At 46.3% G+C, this 23,473-nt stretch overlaps 1 protein-coding gene across 4 annotated transcripts in view, besides 4 other annotated features; it reads right to left on the reverse strand.

Moving 5' to 3' along the window:
• NSMCE1 (NSE1 component of SMC5/6 complex) overlaps positions 1 to 23,473 on the reverse strand; it is a 43,779-nt gene that overhangs the window by 11,496 nt on the left and 8,810 nt on the right. For 2 of the 4 annotated variants that reach the window (NM_145080.4, XM_006721023.5), the window contains one exon: positions 20,946 to 21,092. In NM_145080.4, the coding sequence (NP_659547.2) occupies positions 20,946 to 21,081 (136 nt within the window). In that variant the 5' untranslated portion in view covers positions 21,082 to 21,092. Of the gene's footprint in view, positions 1 to 4,863; positions 4,996 to 5,309; positions 5,401 to 6,754; positions 6,883 to 20,945; positions 21,093 to 23,473 lie in introns of those variants that run through there. The other 2 variants (XM_047433773.1, XM_047433772.1) reach the window with 2 other exon arrangements.
• Positions 816 to 885: an enhancer, noted in NCBI's record as "active region_10613". NCBI's record gives its function as "activates an Ori minimal core promoter by ATAC-STARR-seq in GM12878 lymphoblastoid cells {active_cell/tissue: GM12878}" and the evidence as "EXISTENCE:reporter gene assay evidence [ECO:0000049][PMID:35858748]".
• Positions 1,236 to 1,355: an enhancer, noted in NCBI's record as "active region_10614". NCBI's record gives its function as "activates an Ori minimal core promoter by ATAC-STARR-seq in GM12878 lymphoblastoid cells {active_cell/tissue: GM12878}" and the evidence as "EXISTENCE:reporter gene assay evidence [ECO:0000049][PMID:35858748]".
• Positions 1,759 to 2,053: an enhancer, noted in NCBI's record as "tiled region #5139; K562 Activating DNase matched - State 8:EnhW". NCBI's record gives its function as "activates a minimal TATA promoter and a strong SV40 promoter by Sharpr-MPRA in K562 cells {active_cell/tissue: K562}" and the evidence as "EXISTENCE:reporter gene assay evidence [ECO:0000049][PMID:27701403]".
• Positions 22,445 to 22,944: an enhancer, noted in NCBI's record as "H3K4me1 hESC enhancer chr16:27270255-27270754 (GRCh37/hg19 assembly coordinates)". NCBI's record gives its function as "activates a minimal SCP1, AML or CMV promoter by ChIP-STARR-seq in primed H9 embryonic stem cells {active_cell/tissue: H9 hESC(primed)}" and the evidence as "EXISTENCE:reporter gene assay evidence [ECO:0000049][PMID:30033119]".

The raw sequence follows: 23,473 nt of genomic DNA on the forward strand, positions 1-23,473 counted from the left end.
TTTTACCATGTTGGCCAGGCTGGTCTCGATCTCCTGACCTCAAGTGTTCCGCCCACCTCAGCTTCCCAAAGTGCTGGGATTATAGGCGTGAGCCACCACGCCCAGCTTGTGCTGTGAAACTTTTTAAAGCAAGAGTATGTATTATTGTTTTCACTACTGTTTTTATGTATTAAAATAAATAATTTCAAAAGATTCATGCCTTAGAAAATCATTCTGGAAAAAAAACTGCAAGAAAAAATGGACAATATGATACATTCATGTGTGAAACAAAAACAGAACCAATGAAACAGTCCCACAGGAAAAGGCCCAGCAGGTTACCCACTGGACTGACGACCAAGGCCATCGCCAGGAAGGGACTAAACGAAGGGTCATCACAGGGCACTCGTGCTGTATGTCTGTGTTTGATTTCTTATTAGACAGAGGCATTTCTAAGCTACCCGTACAACTCAAGATTCATAAAGTTAAAAAAAAAAACAACAGAAGATCATGCTGGTGACAATGGAGGATGTGGCCGTGTGAAAGAGTCAAGGAAAACCCAGGCCAATGAGCTCTGTCAGAGGATCAGACTGTGGGGCCCAGAAAAGCTGAGAACAAAGCCCAGGGCAGTGACACTAATGTGCCATGCTCAGCGAGGAGCTAATCTTCCCTTTCAGTTAAGTTTTTAAAAGGCAGTTTAAATTAAAAAGTAGTCATAGTAAGTGGGTGGAACATGGATGTGGTGAGATCGTAACATATGACAATGACATCTGGCCTCGGCGGCTGGAGAGCAGGCATCAGGAGGGAGGCATGGCCTGACTTCCTGCCTCCATGCCCCTGCTCACGGGCCCCTCCTTTCTGAAAACTCCTCTCCCTCCACTGCGGCAGCCACCTTGGATGGCCTGTTTTTCCAGGAAATGTTCTCTTCTGCCCCCGGTGCTGTCTTCCTCTTCCACAGCATGCAAGGCAGCTCTTTGCTGGCGTGGGAGCCGAGCTGTTCCGTACCTGCCTGTGCCAGTGACTTGGCCAGACACACTTTTCCACCCCCAAGGGGAGCCAACGCTGGGCAGCTCAGGTGCAAGAGGCCCAGACATCAAAAAGCCTCGTTCAGTGCGGAGTGAGTGACAGGAACCCTGTCCACCCAGTGTGACACTGGGGCAAGTCCCACCTCTCTGAAAGTGACAATTCACATTTTCCACTAACGAGGCCCCTCCTGGGTATCACTGAGAACAATGTGCCCTGTGGGCAGATGAGAAGCATTCTGATCTATTGGACTTTCCAGACACCCCGTTGCAGGGAGGGAGCCAGCAGCCCTCTCTGCCCTTCCCCTCTCCACACCACCTCTGGTTTGGCGTCCAGCCTCATTTTTCAGAAACCATGAATGTTTTGCTGTATTTTCATCTGACCAACCACTTCCTCCTACTGTACTCGCTCACTGCACACACCAGCCACTGCTTGGGCGCTCCCGTTCTCTCCGCTATCGCCCTCTTTCCTTCCACACGCTTCCTGCATCAGGGTCATGTCCACGATCTCCATCGCTGACCCTGTAACTGTTTCTCACGGAGGCCCCGCGCCCTTGCAGCTCCTCTTAATCGTGACCTGAGAAGAAACTTCTCTTACACTCAGCACCCCCAAACCCTTCAACTGACTCCTTTCAGCAGCAACAGAGGTGGCGTGGTGGCATGGGGCCAGAAGCAGAGGTGTGGGCTCTAGCCCATCCTGCCCTCCCGCTCTGTGGGGCCCTGCGTGAGCCTCTCCCCCACTTCTCATCTCTAACAGCCACACACAGTCTCGCCTCCAGCCTCACACATGTCCAGAACCCTCTTCCCTCCCGCTTCTCTACCACCACCCCTGGCTGGACCCCAGCCTCCTGATCCTCTGGCAGCCTCCCGTACAGGCCTTCCCCAACCAGATAAGCTGCACTTCCCAGCTCTGTCCTCCCATGGCAGCACTTCCTTCCTCATCACGTGGCACTCCAGTTACTGTGTCCAGCCGCCGCCCCAAGACAGGAGTCAGCTGGTGACACCTGCCAGCCCAGCAGCCATGTCCCTCCCTAACGAGACCTTCGCCTTTTTTCTTTTTTTTTTTTTACAATTGTCTTTCTCTTACATTTGCGGTTTTGGTGAGAGAATAATTCCAGGTATGATATTCAGGGAACCAGAAAGCAGAAAGCTGAAGGGACCAGAGATTAGGGCAGCCAGGAGTAGACAGAGAACCCCTATCAGCCAGACACTCTCCCAATCTGAGCAAGGGACAAAAGGAAGCTTGGAGGTGGCTCCAGCCCAGAAGCTACAGAGGGCCAGCTGCTCTGGCCATGAGGTGATGCCATGCTTCCTGCCTATCCCCAACTGTGCACCTGGCCACCAATGAGTCCTATGTGTCCCTCCCCCAATAGCATCCCGACACATTTTTTTTTTTTTTTGAGATGGAGTGTCACTCCATTGCCCAGGCTGGAGTGCAGTGGCACAGTCTCAGCTCACAGCAACCTCCACCTCCCAGGTTCAAGCGATCCTCCTGCCTCAGCCTCCCCAGGCACTGGGACTACAGGTGTTTCACCACCACACCTGGCTAATTTTTTGTATTTTTAGTAGAGATGGGATTTCACTATGTTGGCTGGTCTGGTCTCAAACTCCTGACCTCAAGTGATCTGCCCACCTGTCTCCCCAAGTTTTGGGATTACAGGCGTGAGCCACCGTGCCCAGCCCCGACACATTCCTTTCTAAGTTGACCAGAACTGGGGTCTCTTGCTTGCTCCCAAGATCCTTATGATGTCCACTAAGCGCTAAGGTTGCACCAGATCGCTGCTTCCCAGCCTCAGGTCTTCAGGACAGCTAATGTCCACAGCTCTGCCCCTGGTCTCTCCCCTGATCCAGGAGCCCTGGTGGAGAAGCTACAGTTTGCCAATCTGTAGGGATACACTGGGCTAAAGGCATGTCTGAGGATCCTTTTGACCTCAATATTCTACGAGCCCATGGTCATGATAAAGAGTGCGGAATAAAGTCCGTATGGTGAGATTCTGAGACAACTACTTTCAGTCTTAGAAATACCACTTTGAAGACTTAGGAGTTAATTAACAACACCACTCCTTTTCAGAATCCAGAACCAACTGAAGAAAAAGACACAACCTTCAGTAAATATCAAAACATCAGGTTTTCTGTAGGTAGCGCTGGATCAGAGGCTGGTTCTCTGCACACCACCAACCTCCAGTCAGTGATATGGGAGGCCCAGCTATGAGGACAGAGGAACGAGGCCCTGGCCCTAGCACAGATGTCTCCTCTAGAGGGAAAGAGATACCCTAGCCAGGACAACCAGCAACATGTTTAAATCAAGCAAGTTGAACCTCTAAACCTCTAAACACAGTGCTATCTGTGTTCTCTCTACTTGGAAGAGGCAGGGTGTGTCTGGATTTCTTAAGGGCTATAGTAAAGTAGCTCATGTTAGGCTAAAATCAAGGGGCCTGCAAATGTGTGGCTATGATTACCTTATTATGTGCCAGCACTATGCATTCACATGGTTCATTTCATCATGACAATAACAGTAACTCCGTAAGATGAAATCACTAGTATCATCTGTATATACAGGAGGCTTGGAGAGGTTAACAACTTGCTCATAGTTTCCGTAACTTGGAAGGAAATGGAGCCCGGGCTTGCCCAACCCCAGATCCTAAGCTCCCAGGCACTAAGCCCCATGGGCTCCACAGAACAAGCCTGAGGACATCCTCTATACCAGACCCCACCGTCATCTCGTCTATACCCTCCTGCACCTGCCCTGTGCTTCAGAGTCACCAAGAGAGACTGGGCCAACAGGGAAGGATGGAAGGCATCTGGGCACCTGATTAGGACACCAGAGGTGGTACCCAAAGAGGAGCTGCACTCACAGAGGAGATGCATTGGATCAGCCCGGCCTGGCCCAGCCCAGCATCCATCATCCCCTCAGCTCAGACCAGCCCAGCATCCATCATCCCCTCAACCCAGCTCAGCCCAGCATCCATCATCCCCTCAACCCAGCCCACCCCAGCATCCATCATCCCCTTGGCCCAGCCCTGAGCACTGGGCCAGGTCCAGCGTGCAGGGACAGCATGCAGGGCAGCAGGAGCAGCTGAGGAAAGGCAAAGACCCTGGAGCGAACAGAGCCACTCTTCCTTTAACAGGAAATGCCCATCAGTGGTGGCAATTGAAAACGGGCCTCCAGGCAAGTGACAAGCACTGAACAAAACAGGACACTTCTCCCCTAAGGAGAAGGGTTGGCTCAAGTCATCTTGAGAGATTTTGTTTTGGACTAATTCTGTATACAGTTTCTCCTTTTCTTTTAAAATTAAATTTTAAGGCCAGGTGTGGTGGCTTACACCTGTAATCACAGTACTTTGGAAGGCCAAGGCAGGAGGATCATTTGAGGCCAGGAGTTCAAGACAAGCCTGAGCAATGGATCAAGAGCTCATCTCTACAAAAAAATTTAAAAATCAGCCAGGCATGGTGGCATGTGGCTATAGTCTCAGCTACTTGGGAGGCTGAGGCAGGAGGATAGCTTGAGCCCAGGAGTTGGAGACTGCAATGAGCTATGATCGCATCACTGCATTCTAGCCTGGGTGACAGAGCTAGGCCATCTCTCAAAAAATGAAAGAAATGATTAAGTTACATTGGAATGTAATGTTACCAATGAGCCTCTTCTTGCTATATCAGGGTCCCTGCTTCCCAGAGGCTACTGGAACCTAGGATTCACTGTGCACTTGGGCAACAGGAAATTGGGAAGTCTACTGCCCTGACCTCTGACCAACAAATAGTTTTGTTCTAAACTAGGCAATAAAAACATAAAATGTTATTTTTAGGCAGAGGAAATAACAGCAAAAAATAAGACTCCAAGGGCCCAAGCCACTGTGAGCCAACTTACCCTCTGACAGCCCTCCCGACAGACAGGGTGGACGGGCGGTCCTGCTAGCACAGCACTGAGGACAGGGCAGGGCAGGCCCTGGATGAGACGGGGGTGCAGGAGTGGAGCTGGCCCAAGAGAGCAGACCCTGGGCTGGGAAGAAGGAAGGGCTGGTGGGCAGGACACGGGGCTGGGGAGGTTTGTGAGGGGCCACAGGATTTCACCTCTCAGCCTGTAGCTCTCATCTTTCCCCCAACCGCCTGGGGAAAAAGATTCTCTGGACCTTCAGGCACACAGATGCAAAGATGAGAACTGCCATGGGCACTTCCAAGCATGGCCAGTGAACAATGCTGGGAAGAGCCGGGTGGAAGGAGAGTGGCTGGTCTGTGGTAGATCACTTAGTGACGAACCGTCCTCTCCATCGGTGCACCAGCTCATTCACTACACGCTGCAGCGCCGCTCCTCACCTCTCAGCAGACCCTCAGCAACCAATGCAGAGGCGAGCCAGAAAGGATCGCTGCTTCTCTTTCTCAGAGGTCAGAGAGATGAAGGACATACCTAAGACGGGACAGGAAGCGACAAAGTCTAGACCAGAAATCAGATGTCTGGCCATTAGCTGGATGCAATCACGAAAGGATGTGGGCATTCATCAGAAAAAAATTCTTACATATACATGCAATGATGTTGAGAATACTTCAAAATAACGTGGGTAAGCAGGTACAAACATAAATAAAACAAGATCAGTCCTGCGTTCATCATCGGAACTGAGTGATGGCACACAGGGCTTCACTGTATCAGTCTCTCCACTTTTCTGTTTGACTTTTTCCATAATAAAATGTTGTAAAAATACTTCAGTGCTCAACAATCATATAACTTGACTCCTTGACCCTCATGAATCTCAATCTAAAGAGAAAAATGAGTGTTGTGTGACAAGGTAGATTAGCTCAGTGCTCTGACAGTAGAGAAGAAATAGGATTTTAATAACGTATGGTTTTAAAACCTATTGTTCTGAGATCTGTACACAGAGTTCTTTTCTTCTTAAACTCAAGAAGTTTATTACAATCAGAAGTTTATTACAATCAGAAAATCTGCTCTTTAGCCTCACTCAAATGACAGAGCATAAAACTTATTTCATGTTACTGGGCACAGTACCTGCATCTCAGCTGCATGCATTTATGGTACTAAAACCTATGACACCACTGCAGGAGTGGTGATGGGGACATCCACTTGCTGTCCCTATCTATGCAGCATCTATGGGACCTTCCCCTGGCTGGAGGTCTACCAGTCAGGACTCCCACTGGCAATAAAGCAGTGCCCACTGCTTTATCACGGTAAAGTTCTGGATCATAATGGAAATCGTCATGAGAAACATAAACTACTATATATTTTGCTACTGATGCTGTTCATACACATTTCATCTAATCACACCCACTGAAAACAGGTGGTCCATCTATCCTTGAGATGAGTGGCAGCTCTGACACCTTCTGTGGCGCTCTGGTCCCCATCCCTACCCATGCAGGAGCCCTCGCAGAGCTGATACAGGGGCTCTGCAGGGGACGGGAGAGAGGCTTCCTGGTCACCCCAGCCCCTGAAACCAGAGCAGTTCTTCCTGATCCCTGTTGGGTAAGTTTCCTCCTGCTCAGATTGCACTGAGCGAACTGAAAATGGACAAATCTGATGCCTACAGAGGCAGGCAGGAAGCACAGCTGCAGACAGCTGTGGGCACAGCAGGGAGCTGGCGGCACGCATTCTACCAAAGAAGGCAGCACTGCTCTGCTCCAGCCGAGTGCCCGAGTTTTGGGTGTTTACACAGAATCTCCTGGCGGTTGTTTTCTGTTTAACCTGGTAATTCTTAAAAATTACAAACACTATAGTGCAAACAAACAATGCCTGTAAGTTATATACCACTGACCGTTCACCGTCTCCCAATTCCGATGTGGGCAGGAAACCCGCTGTCATGAGACACAGTGATTAATGAGGTCACTCTGTTCCCTGACCCACCAGCTAAGCAGTTACTATTTCTCACACAGGCTGGACTGTGAGCAGCTCAAAGGAATGGACCGTGTTACACTCATTCTTCTGAGAGATTGAACATACAAACAGCCAATGGGCTGCAGCCAATGGCCAGACCACGTATAAAAGCAGAACTCCAACCCAAAATCTACATCAACCTGCCCAGAAAGCCAGCCCACCACCTCTAAGCCAGACCTGCAGGAAGCCAGGCCAGTCCCCTAGCAACCAGTCCAGAAGCCAAAACTAACCCACAATCATGGCCCAAAAGGACCAAGGCAGGATCAGTAACTGATACTACCCTAATTGATTTTATTTTATATTTTAGAGATGGGGTCTCGCTCTGTCATCTAGGCTGGAGAGCAGTGGTGCAATCATAGCTCACTATAGCCTTGAACTCCTGGGCTCAAGTGATCCCCCCACCTCAGTCTCCCCAGTAGCTGGGACTACAAGCACGAGCCACTACGCTCAGCTAACTTTGTTTCTTCTGCAGACCCTGAGGTCTCGCAATGTTGCCCAGGCTGGTCTCAAACTCCTAGCCTCAAGTGTTCCTCCCGCCTCAGCCTCCCAAGTAGCTGGGACTACAGGCATGTACCACCATGCTTGCCAGCTTCCCTAATTTTTATCCCTGTTTCTAAGAGACAACAAACCAGAGAAAGCCACATATGTACTTCTAACCAATCACATAGGACGCCCCACTTCTGGTTAGCTGTCTCCACCTTGCCCTGGCCAGCAGCCTCCACTCAGGCACACCTGAAGCCTCCCCACTCCTCTGCCTTCCTGGAGTCTCTGCTAAACCCAAGTGGAGGCTGCCTCTCTTGCTGGAGCAAGCTCTAAATAAGCAGCTGCTGCCTGTTCTGCTGCCTGGTCTCCGTTTATGTTCACACTTTATCCGTGGAGGACTCAATTTGGTGCCCATTCTGGGCTAAGCAGGGGCTAAGAAGTGGCTGGTATGAAGGCGGCTGACTGCAGTCGCTCTGACAGGCGCACGCCCTTCCCTTTCCCCACTCACTACAGTCTGAAGCAGACAACAGCCTCCAACATTCTCCCGGTGTCCCCTCTAGCCTTCTCCATCTGTCTGTCCTCCACATGCAGCTGAGTGGAGCCAGGTCCCAGCACTCAGCCTGGAAGATGTCTGGGGCTCCATCCCCTGACCTATGTTGCCACCTGCCTTTCTGTCCCCCACTCCCCCACACCAAGCTCCTCCCCATCTCAGCCCCTTCACTCATGCTGCCTTCCCTTTGGAAAGCGTCTCCCGCATATCTCTGCAGGGCTGCCCCTCATCACCCGAGCATCGCCACATATGGCAGCTCCACAGAAAGGTTTGAACAGAGGCCCTGGCCAAAGCCACACCCCAGGCCCGCTCTACCGAGGGACTCAATGCTTCCTTCCAGCACTTAGCACCCCAAACTACCACACTGTCTGCCTCCGAGTTACGGTCTTTCTCTTTCTAAGCAGAATGCCAGCTCCCTGAAGGCTGGGATCTGCTCATCCTATTCACCACAGCAGCCCAACATTCAGCTGACACTCAAGACGTATCCGTCCACGAACCGAGGAAGATGTGTGGTACAAGTGGTGACCATGCTTTGTGAATTTTCTAGGAAAACCCCAAGAGAATTCAGCCCTGTGGTCTATAAAATAATTCCTATCACACTATCATACCAGCACCATGGGTCTTCTGATAGTCACCCCCCACCACTCACCCCCAGCAATTGGGATTAGATGGCAAGTTAAGGGGCAGAAAAGGAAGGAAGAGGCAGTGGTGAGCATGAAGTGAACGTGTGCCCACAAGCACTCTGTGCCAGGCGCTGAACATACATTCCCTTGCTTAATCCTCAAGACTCTTCCATGAAATGAATGTGATGTCCCTTATAACACAGAAAGCTGAGACTCAGAAAAGTAAAAGAACTTTCCCCAGACCCTGGAAGAAACAGGACTTGAATTCATGCCTTTGAAAAATGGCTTCCCTGTTCCAGCCAGCGGGGTCTGTGGTAATCCCACTGAATCCATTCCCAGTACTTCCACGCATCAGCACATAACCTCTCTCATGTCTGGGATCCAGTTCAAAATGCATTCCCAAACACATGATGTGTGTGCTTAGGGGAGCGTGAAGCGCACAGAAATCCTGGCTCAGCAACTCCATGCTGGCCTGAAAGGGCTGCGGTGGAGCAGTCCAGCCTGGACTCCCAGGCTGCAGACATGAAGAACGGGCAGGACTTGGACACATCTAGGCCAGCAAGAGCCAGAGACACAAAAGCAACATCAATTTCCTTGTGGTTACAGAGCTTCTTGAACCCAAAGATTCCTGTCTAAGCACTTAATAACTGCCGGCTGTCAATTCTGTATGTTGAGAAATTCATCGAGTCACACGTTAGATGTTACTTTTCATACTCATTTTTTGCCACTTTTCAGTTATGATCCCAGACTTTATCTCCCTTGATTAACTGAAAGGCAGACCGGCTCTGACAGTGGTATGCTGATTAACTGTTCATCATTGCCAAAGGGGAGATCTATAAATGAAATCACTAAAAACAGAAGGAAAATGTACTTGGAGCCAGCTTCTAATTATGACTGAGTCTTCCTTGGAAAGAGAAGGTGCTTACAAATAGGACTACAGACAGGATGGAATACTAAACCAAAATGTCAACATCGCTGATTCACCATCAACGCACGTAGCCTGATGATGTACAGGAGTCCAGCGTGAGACGACGAAGCAGATACAGGCATGTCAATCAGCACGCTGGAAACAAACCCGGGATGAAGGCAGATAAGAGAGTTGACAAAAACAGAAAATCTTTATCAAACCCCAACGTGACCATGATACTTGACTCACTCATCTAGTTTTGACACATGTATTTCAGCGACCTGGTTTTTGCCCAAACATCAAATTATTTACTCTGCTCACTGAAGTATTTCTAAACCTAAATTTTTAAATCTAAAACTTCAGACATTTTTACCTAACTTGTCCTTAAAACAATAGATAATTTAAAACCTCATAAAAATTAACATTAAACATGATAATACAGTGTAATTAGTTCTAAAATGTTAGTGCTGGAGAGTATAGAACTGTACCTCACAGCAGTCTGGCAACCATAAAATAAGAATGAATCCAGGGAAGTATTTTAAAACTAATAGGTAAAAATGGGATGAAGAGTGGGATTATTTTTTGGAACAGGGTCTTGCTCTGTCACCCAGCTGGAGTGCACTGGCATGATCTTGGCTCACTGCCACCTCTGCCTCCCGGGTTCAAGGGATCCTCCCACCTCAGCCTCTGAGTACCTGTGATTACAGGCTCATGCCACCAGGCCCGACTAATTTTTTTATTTTATGTAGATACAGTGTTTCGCCATGTTGCCCAGGTTTGTCTCAAACTCCTGAGCTTGAGTGATCCACCTGCTGCAGCCTCCCAAACTGCTGGGATTACAGGCATCAGCTACTGCACCGGGCCAAGAATGAGATATTTACCTTGTCTCTAAGTACCTCCCTGCAATATACTTATTAATCACATAGAAAAAGAGTAATTGTACACTGGAGAAACCTGGCTGACCCCATCAACACCGTAGCCGACCTGGTAGGATGCAGAGAGAACACAACACCGCTTCCATATTATATCTGCAAAGTTAAAACTCCTAGATCTAATTAGGAGGAAGCTCCAGACAAACCTAAGCTGAGGAACATTCTACAAATAGCACATGTGGCTACTGAGCACTTAAAATGGGGCCAGTCTAAACTAAGTGTAAAATACATATTGGATTGCAAAGACATATTTCCATCACCCCCAATATGGTTTGGCTGTGTCCACCCAAATCTCATCTTGAATTGTAGTTCCCATAATCCAAACATGTCATGGGAGGGGCCTGGTGGGAGGGAATTGAATCATGGGGGCAGTTACCCTCATGCTATTCTTGTGACAGTGAGTGAGTTCTCAAGAGATCTGACAGTTTTATAAGGGTCTTTTCCCCTTTTGCTCAGCACTTCTCCTTCCTGCCTGCCACCATGTGAAGAAGGATGTGTTTGCTTCCCCTTCCACCATGACTGTAAGTTTCCTGAGGCCTCCCCAGCCATGCTGAACGGTGAGTCAATTAAACTTCTTCCCTTTATAAATTACCCAGTTTTGGGTATGTCTTTATTAGCAGCGCGAGAACGGACTAATACACTCACCAAGTTTCCTTGTGCCTCTTTGTAATCCCTCTCACCTACCCATCCTATCCCTCCTCTATGCCATCCCCATGCAACCACTGAACCATCCTGTCATTACAGTCAGGTACGCATTGTCTAGAATTTCACATAAATGCCTTCATATGGCCGGGCACAGTGGCTCACACCTGTAATCCCAGCACTTTGGGAGGCCGAGGTGGGCAGATCACGAGGTGAGGGGATCAATATCATCCTGGCTAACACAGTGAAACCCCATCTCTACCAGAAATACAAAAAAATTAGCCGGGCGTGGTGGCACACACCTGTAGTCCCAGCTACTCAGGAGGCTGAGGGAGGAGAATCGCTTGAACCTGGGAGGTGGAGGTTGCAGTGAGCGGAGATTGCGCCATTGCAATCCAGCCTGGGCGACAGAGCAAGACTCTGTCTCAAAAAAAAAAAAACAAAAAACAAAACAAAACAAAATTGCTTTATACTCTTTCACCTCACTTCTTCCACTCAGCAAAATCATTCTGATTCATTCATATTCTAGCATGTAGGAAGAGCTCACTTACTTTTATTGCTAAGTAGTATGGATTTATCACAGTCTGTTCATCTGTTCAACTGCAAATGGACAACTAGGTGTTCACATTTGGGGCCATTACAAATAAAGATACTCTATCTCTGCACAAGCCTTTGTGCGGGCATATAGCTTCATATCTCTTGAATAAATGCCTAAGAGAGGAATGGCTGAATCATAGGAAATTGCCACACTGTTTTCCTAAATGGCTGTCCCATTTTACATTCCCAACAGTAGTATATTAGAGTTCCAGTTCCTCCATGTTCTCACCAATACTTGCCTTGCAGAGTCTTCTTCATTTTAGCCATTTTAATACACATGCAGTGGTAGCTCACTGCGGTTTTAGTTTGCTTTTTTTTTTTTTTTTTTTTTTTGAGACAGAGTGTTGCTCTCTCCCCAGGCTGGAGTGCAGTGGCGTGATCTCAGCTCACTGCAACCTCCGCCTCCCGGGTTCAAGCAATTCTCCTGCCTCAGCCTCCCAAGTAGCTGGGACTACAGGCACCCGCCACCAAGCCTGGCTAATTTTTGTATTTTTAGTAGACACAGGGTTTCACCCTGTTGGTCAGGATGATCTCAATCTCCTGACCTCGTGATCCACCCACCTCGGCCTCCCAAACTGCTGGGATTACAGGTGTGAGCCACCATGCCTGGCCTGCATTTTTTAAATGTCTAATGATGTTGAGCATCTTTTCATGTGCTCATCTGCCATCTGTACAACCGATTTGCAGTGTTCAAATATTTTGCACACTTCTTACTGGGTTGTATGTTTTTCCTTTTCCTTTTCTTTTTTTGAGACAGGATCTCCCTCTGTCACCCAAGCTGAAGTGCAGTGGCACAATCTCAGCTCACTCCAACCTCTGCCTCCCAGGCTCAAGCAACCCTCCCACATCAGCCTCCCAAGTAGCTGAAACTACAGGTGCATGCCACCATGCCTGACTAATTTTTGTATTTTTTTGTAGAGACGGAGTTTTGTCATGTTGCCCAGGCTGGCCTCAAACTCCTGAGCTCAAGCAATCCACCGGCTTCAGCCTCCCAGAGTGCTGGGATTACAGGTGTGAGCCACCACGCCCAGCCGGGTTGAATGTTTTCTTATTTTTGAGCTTTGAGAATTCTCTATATATTCTGAATACAAGTCATTCATTAAATACATTATTTGCAAATATTTTCTCTTAGTATTTTGCTTGTCTTTTCAGTCTCTAAAGAGTATTTTTTAATGTAAATTTTTAATTGTGAAGTTCAATTTATCGATTCATTCTCTTATGGAGCATGCTTTTGGAGCCAAGAAATCTTGGACTAATCATAGGTCACAGAGGTTTTCTCCTATGTTTTCTTCTGGAAGTTTTATAGTTTCAGGTTTTACATTTAGGTCTATGACTCATTTTGAGATAATTTTTGTATTTGGTGCAAAGTATGGCTTGCAGTTCATTTTTTGATTATGGATATCCAATTATTCCAGCACTCATTTTGGAAAAGACTATTTCCACTAAATTACCTTTGCACTTCTGTCAAAAATCAGCTGTCCACCTATGTGTGGGTCTGTTATCTAGCTCTCTTATTTTTTTCCCTTCATCTGTTTGTCCATCATGACATGACTACCACACTGTCTTGATAGGACAGCCATACAGTAAGTCTTGAAATCAGGCAGGGTTCCTCAAGTTTGTCTTTTTCAAAATAGTTTTGGCTCTTCTAGGTCCTTTACATTTCCATGTGAATTTCAGAATCAGCTTGTTAATTTTTATAAAAAGCCTTGCTGGGATCTAACTGGGATTTCTTTGAATCTATAGATCAATTTGGGGAGAATTGATACCTTAACAATACTGAATTTCCCAGCCCATGAACATGCTATGTCTTTCCACTTATTTAAATCTCCTTTGACTTCTCTCAACAATGTTTTGTAGTTTTCAGTGTACGGGTCTAACACATTTTTGCCAGATCTATTCCTAAGCATTTCTTATTTTTAATGTTATTATAAATGGTGCTATTTTTACATTACCATTTCTGATTATCCATTGCCAGCATATAGAGAAACAATTGGTATTTGGATATTGATTTTGTATCCTACAACTTTACTAAACTCACTTATTAGTTCCAGAAGATTTTTTGTAGATTCCATCAGATTTTCTACACAGATGATCATGTTGTCTGTGAACTGACAGTTTTACTGTGTCGTCCTTTCTAATCCAGCTACCTTTTGTTTCTTTTTCTCGCCTCAGTACACTAGCTAGAACAAAAGTGGTGAGAACAGACATTCTTGTCTTTCTCCTGAGATTAGGGAAAAGTATTCAGTCTTTCACCATTAAGAGTGATGTTAGCTGTAGGTTTTACAGAGATCCCCTTTATCAGGTTAAGGAAGTTCCCTTCTTTTCTCACTTTGCTGAGGGTATTGTTTTTGTTTTTGTTTTTTAATCAGGAATAGCTGTTGGATTTTTTTTTTTTTTTAAACTCTGTGTAGAGGGCCAGGCGCGGTGGCTCATGCCTGTAATCCCAGCACTTTGGGAAGCCAAGCCAGGGAGATCACTTGAGGCCAGGAGTTCAAGACCAGCCTGGCCAACACGGTGAAACCCCACCTCTACTAAAAATAACAAAAATTCGTCGGGCGTGGTGGCACGTGCCTGTAATCCCAGCTACTCGGGAGGCGGAGGCAGGAGAACTGCTTAAACCCAGGAGGCGGAGGTTGTAGCGAGCTGAGATGGCACCACTGCACTCCAGCCTGGGAGGCTTTTTTGAGACTCTCTCTCAAAAATAAAATAAAATAATAAAATAAATGAAATTTATTTAATTTTAACTGTTTTTTTTTTTTTTTTGAGATGGAGTTTTGCTCTTGTTGCCCAGGCTGGGGTGCAATGCACGATACCAGCTCACTGCAACCTCTGCCTCCCGGATTCAAGCAATTCTCCTGCCTCGGCCTCCCGAGCAGCTGGGATTACAGGCATGCACCACCGTGCCCAGCTAATTTTGTATTTTTAGTAGAGACGGGGTTTCTCCATGTTGGTCAGGCTAGTCTCGAACTCCCGACCTCAGGTGATCTGCCCACCTCAGCCTCCCAAAGTGCTGGGATTACAGGCGTGAGCTACCGCGCCCAGCCTTAATTTTAATTATTTAAAATATATATATATATATATATATATATATATAAATATATATATATATATAAAACTCTGTAGAGTTCAGACTCCTCACTTGTGTTCTAAGTCTATTTATCCTATTTATCCCCTGCTACTTAGGATCCCTTAGCTTCCTATAAAAAACTTTCTGCTACATCACACCAGGGCAAACATGAGATTTTGTCAAATACTTTTTCTGTACCTATTGAGATAAACACAAGATTTTTCTTTTTTAGCTTAATATGGTGAATTACACTGATTTTCAAATATTAATACTAAATCAACCCTGCAAAATCAGGATAAACCCTACTTGGTTATGTCGTACCATCCTTTGTAAACACTGTTAGATTAGATTTGCCACAGTTGGGTTTAGCACGTTAACGTCTACGCTCATGAGGAGTCTTGTTTGGGGTTTTCTTTCCTCGCAATGTCTTTGTCTGGTTATGGTATCAGAATCATGCAGGTCTCATAGAATTAGTTGTAACATATTCTCTTCAATTTTACAGAAGAGTTTGGGTAGAAATGGTGTGAGTTCTTCCTCAAATGTTTGGGCCGGGCACTATTCCCAGTTCTGTGAATAGCTGGCATTGTTTTCTCTAATCCTTCAACTAGTTCTCTCCCTGGCCTTAAGAAGTTTTCTTGCTCATCAGTTCTCAGCGGGATCCTTGAGTGGAGGGGCACTTTGGACATCTCAAGTTTTCTCTCTGTGCACCTCTGGTCCACCTTATACTCCATTGTAAGTACTCCGTCCTGCAACCTCTACCTGCCTTAGTCTCCCTGAACTCTCATCTCCATCTCCTCAACGCAGGGAGGCTGCCTAGCTCTGCCTGGGTTTCCCCTGTGCCATGGCCTAGAAACTTTCTAAAGGCACTGAGCTGGGGCAGCTGTACTGCTCACTCCCACTATCGCTTGTGGCAGAAGAAAGTTACTTGGTCTTTCCCCCAGGTTCCTGGTACAGAACTTCTAAAACTCTTAGAATTCCCTGAGTCATATAGGTGATAGAAGCATCTTTTGCTCTAATGAGGCAACTCTTGGCAGGCCCCTAGGATGGGGGCTGGTCACCAGAATGACCAAGCCTCAATAAAAAACATGGAACTTTCAGCCACTCCCCAATATCTGAGGAGAAGAGAGGGACTGGAGATGGAAGCACTCGTCAACGGCCAGTGACTGATCAATCATGCCTGTGTAAAGAAACCTCCATAGAAACCCAGGAATGGCCAGGCACGGTGGCTAAATAAATATTTCAAATCATTTCTAATGGTGGATTCACAATTTTGTGGGATTATTTTTCTTAGAGTGTGCCAAATTCAATAATCAACAGGCCCTATAAAACCTGAAACTGGGCTGGGTGCAGTGGCTCACGCCTGAATCCCAACATTTTGGAAGGCTGACGCAGGATGATCACTTGAGCCTAGGTGTTCGAGACCAGCCTAGGCCACAGAAGAAGACCCCCGTCTCTACAAATAATTTAAAACTTAGCCGGGCGCGGTGGCTCATGCCTGTAATCCCAGCACTTGGGGAGGCGGAGGCAGGCGGATCACCTGAGGTCAGAAGTTCGAGACCAGCCTGGCCAACATGGTGAAACCCCATCTCTACTAAAACCACAAAAATTAGCCGGGTGTGGTGGCTCACGCCTGTAGTCCCAGCTACTCAGGCGGCTGAGGCAGGAGAATCGCTTGAACCTGGGAGGCAGAGGTTGCAGTGAGCCGAGATCTTGCCATTGCACTCCAGCCTGGGCGACAAGAGCAAAACTGTCTCAAAAAAAATAAAAATAAAAATAAAAAAGAAACCCTTGAACGACAGGATTTGAAGAGCTTCGGGTTATTAAACACACAGAGGCGTTGAGACGGTGGTGCAAGTAGAGAGGGCACGGAAACTCCATGCCACCCCCACTTCCCACAGCTGGCCCTGTGATCTCTCCTATGTGGCTGTTCCTGAGTTGTAGCCTTTATAAAAAAACCACGTAAGTCAAAATGTAAGTAAAGTGTTTTCCTGAGTTCTATGAATCATTCTAGAAAATTATCAAATCCAAAGAGGGAGTTATGGGAACCACTGATGTACAGCCATTGGTCAGAAACACAGGTAGCCCAGGACTTACAACTGGTGTCTTAAGTTGGGTCAGTCTTGTGACACTGAGCCCTTTAACTTGTAGGATTTGATGCTAACTCCAGGCAGATAGTGTCAGAATTAAACTGAATTATGGAATGCCCAGTTGTTATCTAGAGAACTGGAGTAGTGTTAGAAAAGATACCACATCAAGTGTCAAGAGAAAAAGAAACCCTCATTGCCCATCTCTCGAAAGATCACTGGCCTTGACTGACGAATGTCCAGTATTTTATACTTTGTCCATTTTTGAATTGTTTCAGGCAAGAAGGTGTACTGAGCCCTGTTGCTCCATACTGGCCAAAAGTGGAAAACCTCAAACCCAAGCCTTCTCCACCACCCCCGAGGCCTCCTGTGCCGACTTCTATCAAGGAGGCCTATATTGGAATCATCTGACCCCTTGTCTGTATGACTCATGAGAGCCATGGTAAAATAAAAATTCAATCTCTGAGTCACCAGTCCCTAGCACAGAGGCCTGGCTCACTTGAGATTCTAGGGAAGCTTTGCTGGTTGAATAAACGTATGTGTGGATGCAAGTCCTGGCTCAAAAATCTAAGGTCCTCTAAGAACACAGGTCCCTAGCGCCATTCCGAAAGGCTCGACCCAAGGCCTGCACTGAACTTGAGAACAAAATCTAAACTCTTCACTAGCCAGGAGAATTGGGGACTTTGTTTCCCCTTAACGACAGTAAGAAGAGAACCCAAACCAAAGCCTAGAATAAGAAGTGATTTGATAAACTGGACAAACACCCTGGGAAATGGCAATTAGAATAACTTGCAATTTCAATCACTCCTTTGTTTCATAATTTTCCTAGAAGCTAAATATTTTTCTATTTGGTACAAGGGGATTTTCCTGGCCATCTCTTCAAAAGATAGGAAATTAATAATATTGGGTCTTGCGAGTATTCACTTAAGTTTAGATAATTTCTGTCATTTCCTGTTTAAAATCTCCCTAATAACAAGAACATGCAGTAACAAGTTTTTTGGCATTTTTCTTAAATGAAGATAGGACAAAATAGATTGTTCTACCCTGTTCACCCTGGCCATAACCATATCTAGGTGCAAAGAAATGGTACACAGTGTGAAGAATAAATCAATTCCTAGACACATTCTACAGGACTTTCCTAAATTAGATCATAACAATTTTAAAGGTCAAATAAAGGCAAAAACACTTTCAGTCTTAGTACCAAGGCATCATGTGGCTCCTTGCAGTGAGCTGTGAAACTTCCCCACCAACATGAAAGCTTACAGTCAAGACTCACAGGAGAAAAAAAGAGAAAAGGACTAAATTGTCGTGTAAATAAGAGATTCAGGATTAACACAAGCATTCTTTTATTTTTTTGAGATGGGGGTTCACTGTGTTGCCCAGGCTGGAGTGCAGTGGTGCAACCTCAGCTCACTGCAACCCCCACCTCCCCTGCTCAAGCGATCCTCCTGCCTCAGCTTCCTGGGTAGCTAGGACCATAGGTGTGTGCCAGCACACCTGGCTAATTTTTTGTACTTTTGGTAGAGACTGGGTTTCACCATGTTGCTCAGGCTGAAGACAAGCGTTCTTATGCACATTTCTGGAGGATATTGAGGGGTAGGTTTAAAGTCCAACCATGCTTTTTTTTTTTTTTTTTTTTTTTTTTTTTTTGATACATGGTCTCGCTCTGTCGCCCAAGCTGGAGTGCAGGGGCAGGATCTCAGCTCACTGCAGCATCTGCCTCCCAGGTTCAAGCAATTATCCTGCCTCAGCCTCCCAAGTAGCTGGGACTACAGGCATGCACCACCACACCCGGCTAATTTTTGTATTTTTAGTAGAGATGGAGTTTCACCATGTTGACCAGGCTGGTCTTGAACTCCTGACCTCAGGTGACCCACCCTCCTCAGCCTCCCAAAGTGCTGGGATTACAGGTGTGAGCCACCACACCCAGCCGCTACTATGCTTTTTAAAGAGCAAGAGAAACTAGCTTAACAGGTATAACATCCCCTTTCAATACAAAAGTCTCTCACCAAAGATCCTTCTCTGCTGGTACAACTGCGGCGCATCTACCTTCACCACGGAGATGGTTCTCAAACCTAAAACTGTCTCTCTCACTCTCTGCTTTGAATACTTCAAGAGGGCCACACTGTCCGCAGAAGTAAAAAGCCATTACTATGGTGTATAGGGTTCTTCATGATCTGCAAACCTACACACGAAAAGAATGTATTCTCTTCCCACACATCATATATTCTTGTCTAGGGATTCCCAGGGTAGGTTATCAGTAGGTCAATTAGGTTTGGATACACAGAATTAAACACAGTTCAACAGGCTAACTTGTTCCTGGCATTACTGAGCTCCCAGAATTCCCCATGGAACACCTCCATGGACCAGTGCTCTGGAGAACGCAGATGCTACTCTCCAGACACTTCAAACTGCTTCTTCTCCGTCTAACACGCCACCTTCTTTTATTCCTCCTTCCTTTGCACACCTTGAAAGAATATTCGTTTCTGTTCTGTCTCCCTCTTCTTATTCCCATTCACTGCTCACCTCTCTGGGATCAGGCTTTGAACTCTAACATGCTGCAGAAACTGCAGTGCTCCAAATGTGACACCTACCTTTTCTCGTGTCCCTTCACATTTTGAAAAGTATAAAATGATCTTCATCACTTTTGAATGCATTTGCATGCAAAGGCATAAAAGTGGCTGGGAAGAAGATGTAATGCACTCATGAAGTGTTTGCCTTTGGGGACAGGAGGGACACCCTTTCTGGTGTCCCTTCGCCCTTTCACAGCTCACTGCAAGGAGCTACAGGATGCCTGTGGACTAAGAATGAAAGCATCTTTTTGCCTTTTTTTTGTGTCCCTTCACCTGTGTACTTGCTCCCTGTGTACCTGTACACGCCCTTTCTCATACCTCTTGGCTTGGCTCACTTCTATGTCATTTTTTATCTTTTTCTTTTGAAAATTAAAAATACAGAGAGAAAGGCAGAATAAGGCAGAATAAAAACCAAACGCCTGCATTCCCATTCATCAGAGGTGACAACCAGTAGACTACACTAATTAATGTCATGTTGTTAGGCTAATAATGTCACGTTGGCTTCAAGACTTTTCTTTTTAATAAAAGAACATAACAGGATAAAAGTGAAGGGTCCTGTGATCTCTGCTGACAGCCCACTCCCACTCTGCTTCTCCTCACAAGCACCTCACAAGTGTCCTGCGTCTTCTTCTGGTCCACTTTTATACCTTTACATGCAAATGCATTCATAACCAATGAAAACGATTTTGTACTTCACAAAAAAACAACATAATCACATCATACAATTACTCATCCATCACCTTTGTCACTGCATAAAATCTAATCAGTAAGATCTACCCATATTGGCACACAACTCAACAATATCTGCCAATGCTAATTCGACTGATCTATCAACACTGATCCTACTGTTTCTTCCACCATCTCCAGTTACTTAGAACTTAGCACCATGTCCTGTCTCCAAGGGCTTCTTATTTGCCCCTCCCAGTGGCCCCGTAAGATGCCCCAAATGCCTTCAGCTGACACAGGGCAGGGACACACTCTTCAGGTCCGGCCCAGTCTAAGGCTGTGCCCTTAAGTGTTGTGCTAAGCTCCCCCATTTTTTTGTTTTATAATTTATTTTCTTTTTTTCAAATAAAAAAATAGAGAGGGTCTTGCTACATTGCCCAGGCTGGTCCCAAACTCCTGGCCTCAAGCTATCCTCCCACCTTGATTCCCAGAGTGCAGGGATAACAGCGTGAGCCACCGCACCCAGCCAAGCTGCCCTGTGTCCATCAATACCCCACTAGGCACTGTCTCTGCGCCACTGTCTTGTACATATCATGTCTCTCAATTCCCTGAACCATGCACTTACTTATGTGTTAAGTACAATTACTATCCTCACTTTACAGATACAGAAACTGAGGCTGGGGCAGGTCCTGGAGGCTTGGTGTGAACCACAACTATACAGCTTTAGACTCTAAGTTTTTATCCACAGGGCTAAATGTCAGGTTTACTTGGAAAAAAAATAAAAGTGGAAGATGAAATTAGAAAGATGGGCCCGTGTAAGATTGTGAAGAGGCTTGAATGCTCAGCTCAGGAGTACCGGTTAACAAGTTACATGGTATTGTACCTATGTCACTGGTCCCTGATCAACACAGCACCAGAGCGCCCTGGGAACAGGGAAACGGTACTCACGGTCATGGACCTTGTAGCAGTGCGTCTGCAAGCGCTTCACGTCCCATTCCTCTAGCACGCCATGGGTCATCAGCAACTGGAGGAAGCGCCGGTGGACATCAGTCATGACGCCCATTCTCCTTGTGCTGCCCTGCATGTGGGAACGAACTGAAAAGGAAGTAAATGACACTAGTCAACCCCAAGCACATCAGAAGCAACGTCCTGGGTCTTGTACTAATTTACATTAACAAATATAAATTTGCTATCATTTTTAAAAGTCATTCTTCATGCTGTTTACTACAAAGGTGAGAAGAAGAACACGAGTCACAGCATCAGGACTGGGCAGTGGTAAGAGGTGTGGATTCTGGAGCTAGAATGCCGGGATTCAGGGCCTGGCTCTCCCACTTACTAGGCGTGTGAGATTGAGCAACTTAGTCCCCACAGGCTTTGGTTTCTGATCTGTAAAGTGGGACTAATGATAGAAACGTCCTCTGCAGAACTGCTACGAAGATTAGATGGGTTAATACATGTAATAGCCTGGTAACACAGTAAGCACTAAATAAGTCTGAGCTATTTTTACTATCAGGCAATTCTGGGTCTAACCCTTGGCTGAGCCTTTTTACCAGATCTATGGCCTTGGAGAAATTGAGCAGAGGCCCCGTTTTCTCACCATAAAATTATAATGAAGTTCATTACTGAGAGAACTACTAGTAAACACTTAATAAATGTTAGTTTCCTCCTCTCCCCAAACCACTAATAAAACAACTATCATGGCAGGACTTCAGACTATTTTCGAAATCTCCTGCTCACTAACAAAATGGGATCTTTCCGTAAACCACAAAGATCACAGTTAATAAAACTATTCCACAAGCCCTGATCAAAACGCTGGCTACTGCCATGGAGCACGCAGTGCAGGGGCTAAGAATGTGAATTTGGAACTAAACAGGAAGCACTGAGACCAGAAAGTCCCAGATCTGCCTGATCCTAAGGATTTCCTAATGTGCATTTTAACAATACAGATTCCCAAACCCTTTCCTGGATGTTCTGACTGCAATGGGTCCTGGAATTCTGAGGTGTTTACATTCATTTTAGGTGATGTCAAGATCTGACAAGAAAGAAGTTCACTGGTGCCTTGGGCAAATACAGCAGGCAAACATTTTTAGCTAACAATGCTCAGCCTCCCTAAGGCCTAGTCTCTTCACCTCTAAAACTGGGAAACTAGTAGCTACCTTAAAGACATAGAGGAAGCCTAAATGAGTCACAACTACCAAAGGCTTGCCAAGCACCTGGCACATAAGAGATCCACAAGACTGCTAATTACTGCTCTTTTGTTCTTTTTTTTTTCTTTTTTTTCTGAGATGGAGTCTCACTCTGTTGCCCAGGCTGGAGTGCAGTGGCGTGATCTCGGCTCACTACAACCTCTGCCTCCCGGGTTCCAGTGATTCTCCTGGCTCAGCCTCCCAAGTAGCTGGAACTACAGGCGCCCACCACCGTGCCTGACTAATTTTCGTATTTTTAGTAGAGACGGGTTTCACCATGTTGGCCAGGCTGGCCTCGAACTCCTGACCTCAGGCGATCCACCTGCCTCAGCCTCCCAAAGTGGTGGGATTACAGTGTGAGCCACCACGCCCAGCCAGTGCTGTTCTTTAACAGCATCCTCAACTGGACCTCAGGGCTGGGAAAATGCGCCATCTCATAACCAGTCCCTCCAACTGCCTGCTAGAAAAATATCCTCCATCTCACCAAATCTGCACCTCAACAAAGCCTACGTTAGACTCATCCTCTCCTTCCACCTCCTTAGCCCCTTTCCTCTCCCAAGTCCTTCTCTTTGCAAATCATCTGGTGTGGACGGTGCAGTCCACACAATCATACCACACACCTGAGCATCGAACTCTGGTCCTCCTCTCCTTAAACCTCAAATCCAGCCTGTCATCAACTTTATTTCCTATCACTAGGGCCATTCCATGTCGATGTACTTAGCACCCCCGTATTTGCCAGTGGTTGTTCTGGGCACAGGGTTAGAATGTGCTAGGCTAAAAACAATGGACTTCTATCCTGCAAATGAAGGATCTCTACAAACTAAGGGTCTTGAAGCAGGAACATGGTGTTGCCTAGCTGTGTTTTAGGGAGATTATCCTCTTTGGCATCATGGAGGTGTAGAGGAAAGAAATGGGAGGCAAAGAGTCCAGAAAGCAGTCTCCTGAAGGGATCCTACAAAAGGGGATGAGGTATCACCGAGGCTTGGCAGTGGGGACAAATGATACGAATCACTGTCATTGTGATCCCATCAAATCTCAAGCAGAATAAACTCTAAAATATCCACCTAGGCTCATCCTAATAAAACCACACAATACCAGAGATTAAACACAATCAAAGAAAAAGTCAGATGACTTCTAAAGAGCAACAAGTAGACTGCCGGCTGCCATCACAATGGCAACAATGGAAGCCGGTCACAGTGGAAACATATCTTCTATGCTGGGAGCGGGTGTCTCAACAGAGAATTCTATAACGAGCTGAAGACTGAGGATAAGACAAAAACATTTCCAAAC

Source organism: Homo sapiens, chromosome 16, assembly GCF_000001405.40.
Source record: "Homo sapiens chromosome 16, GRCh38.p14 Primary Assembly".
Classification (NCBI taxonomy): Eukaryota; Metazoa; Chordata; class Mammalia; order Primates; family Hominidae; genus Homo; species Homo sapiens.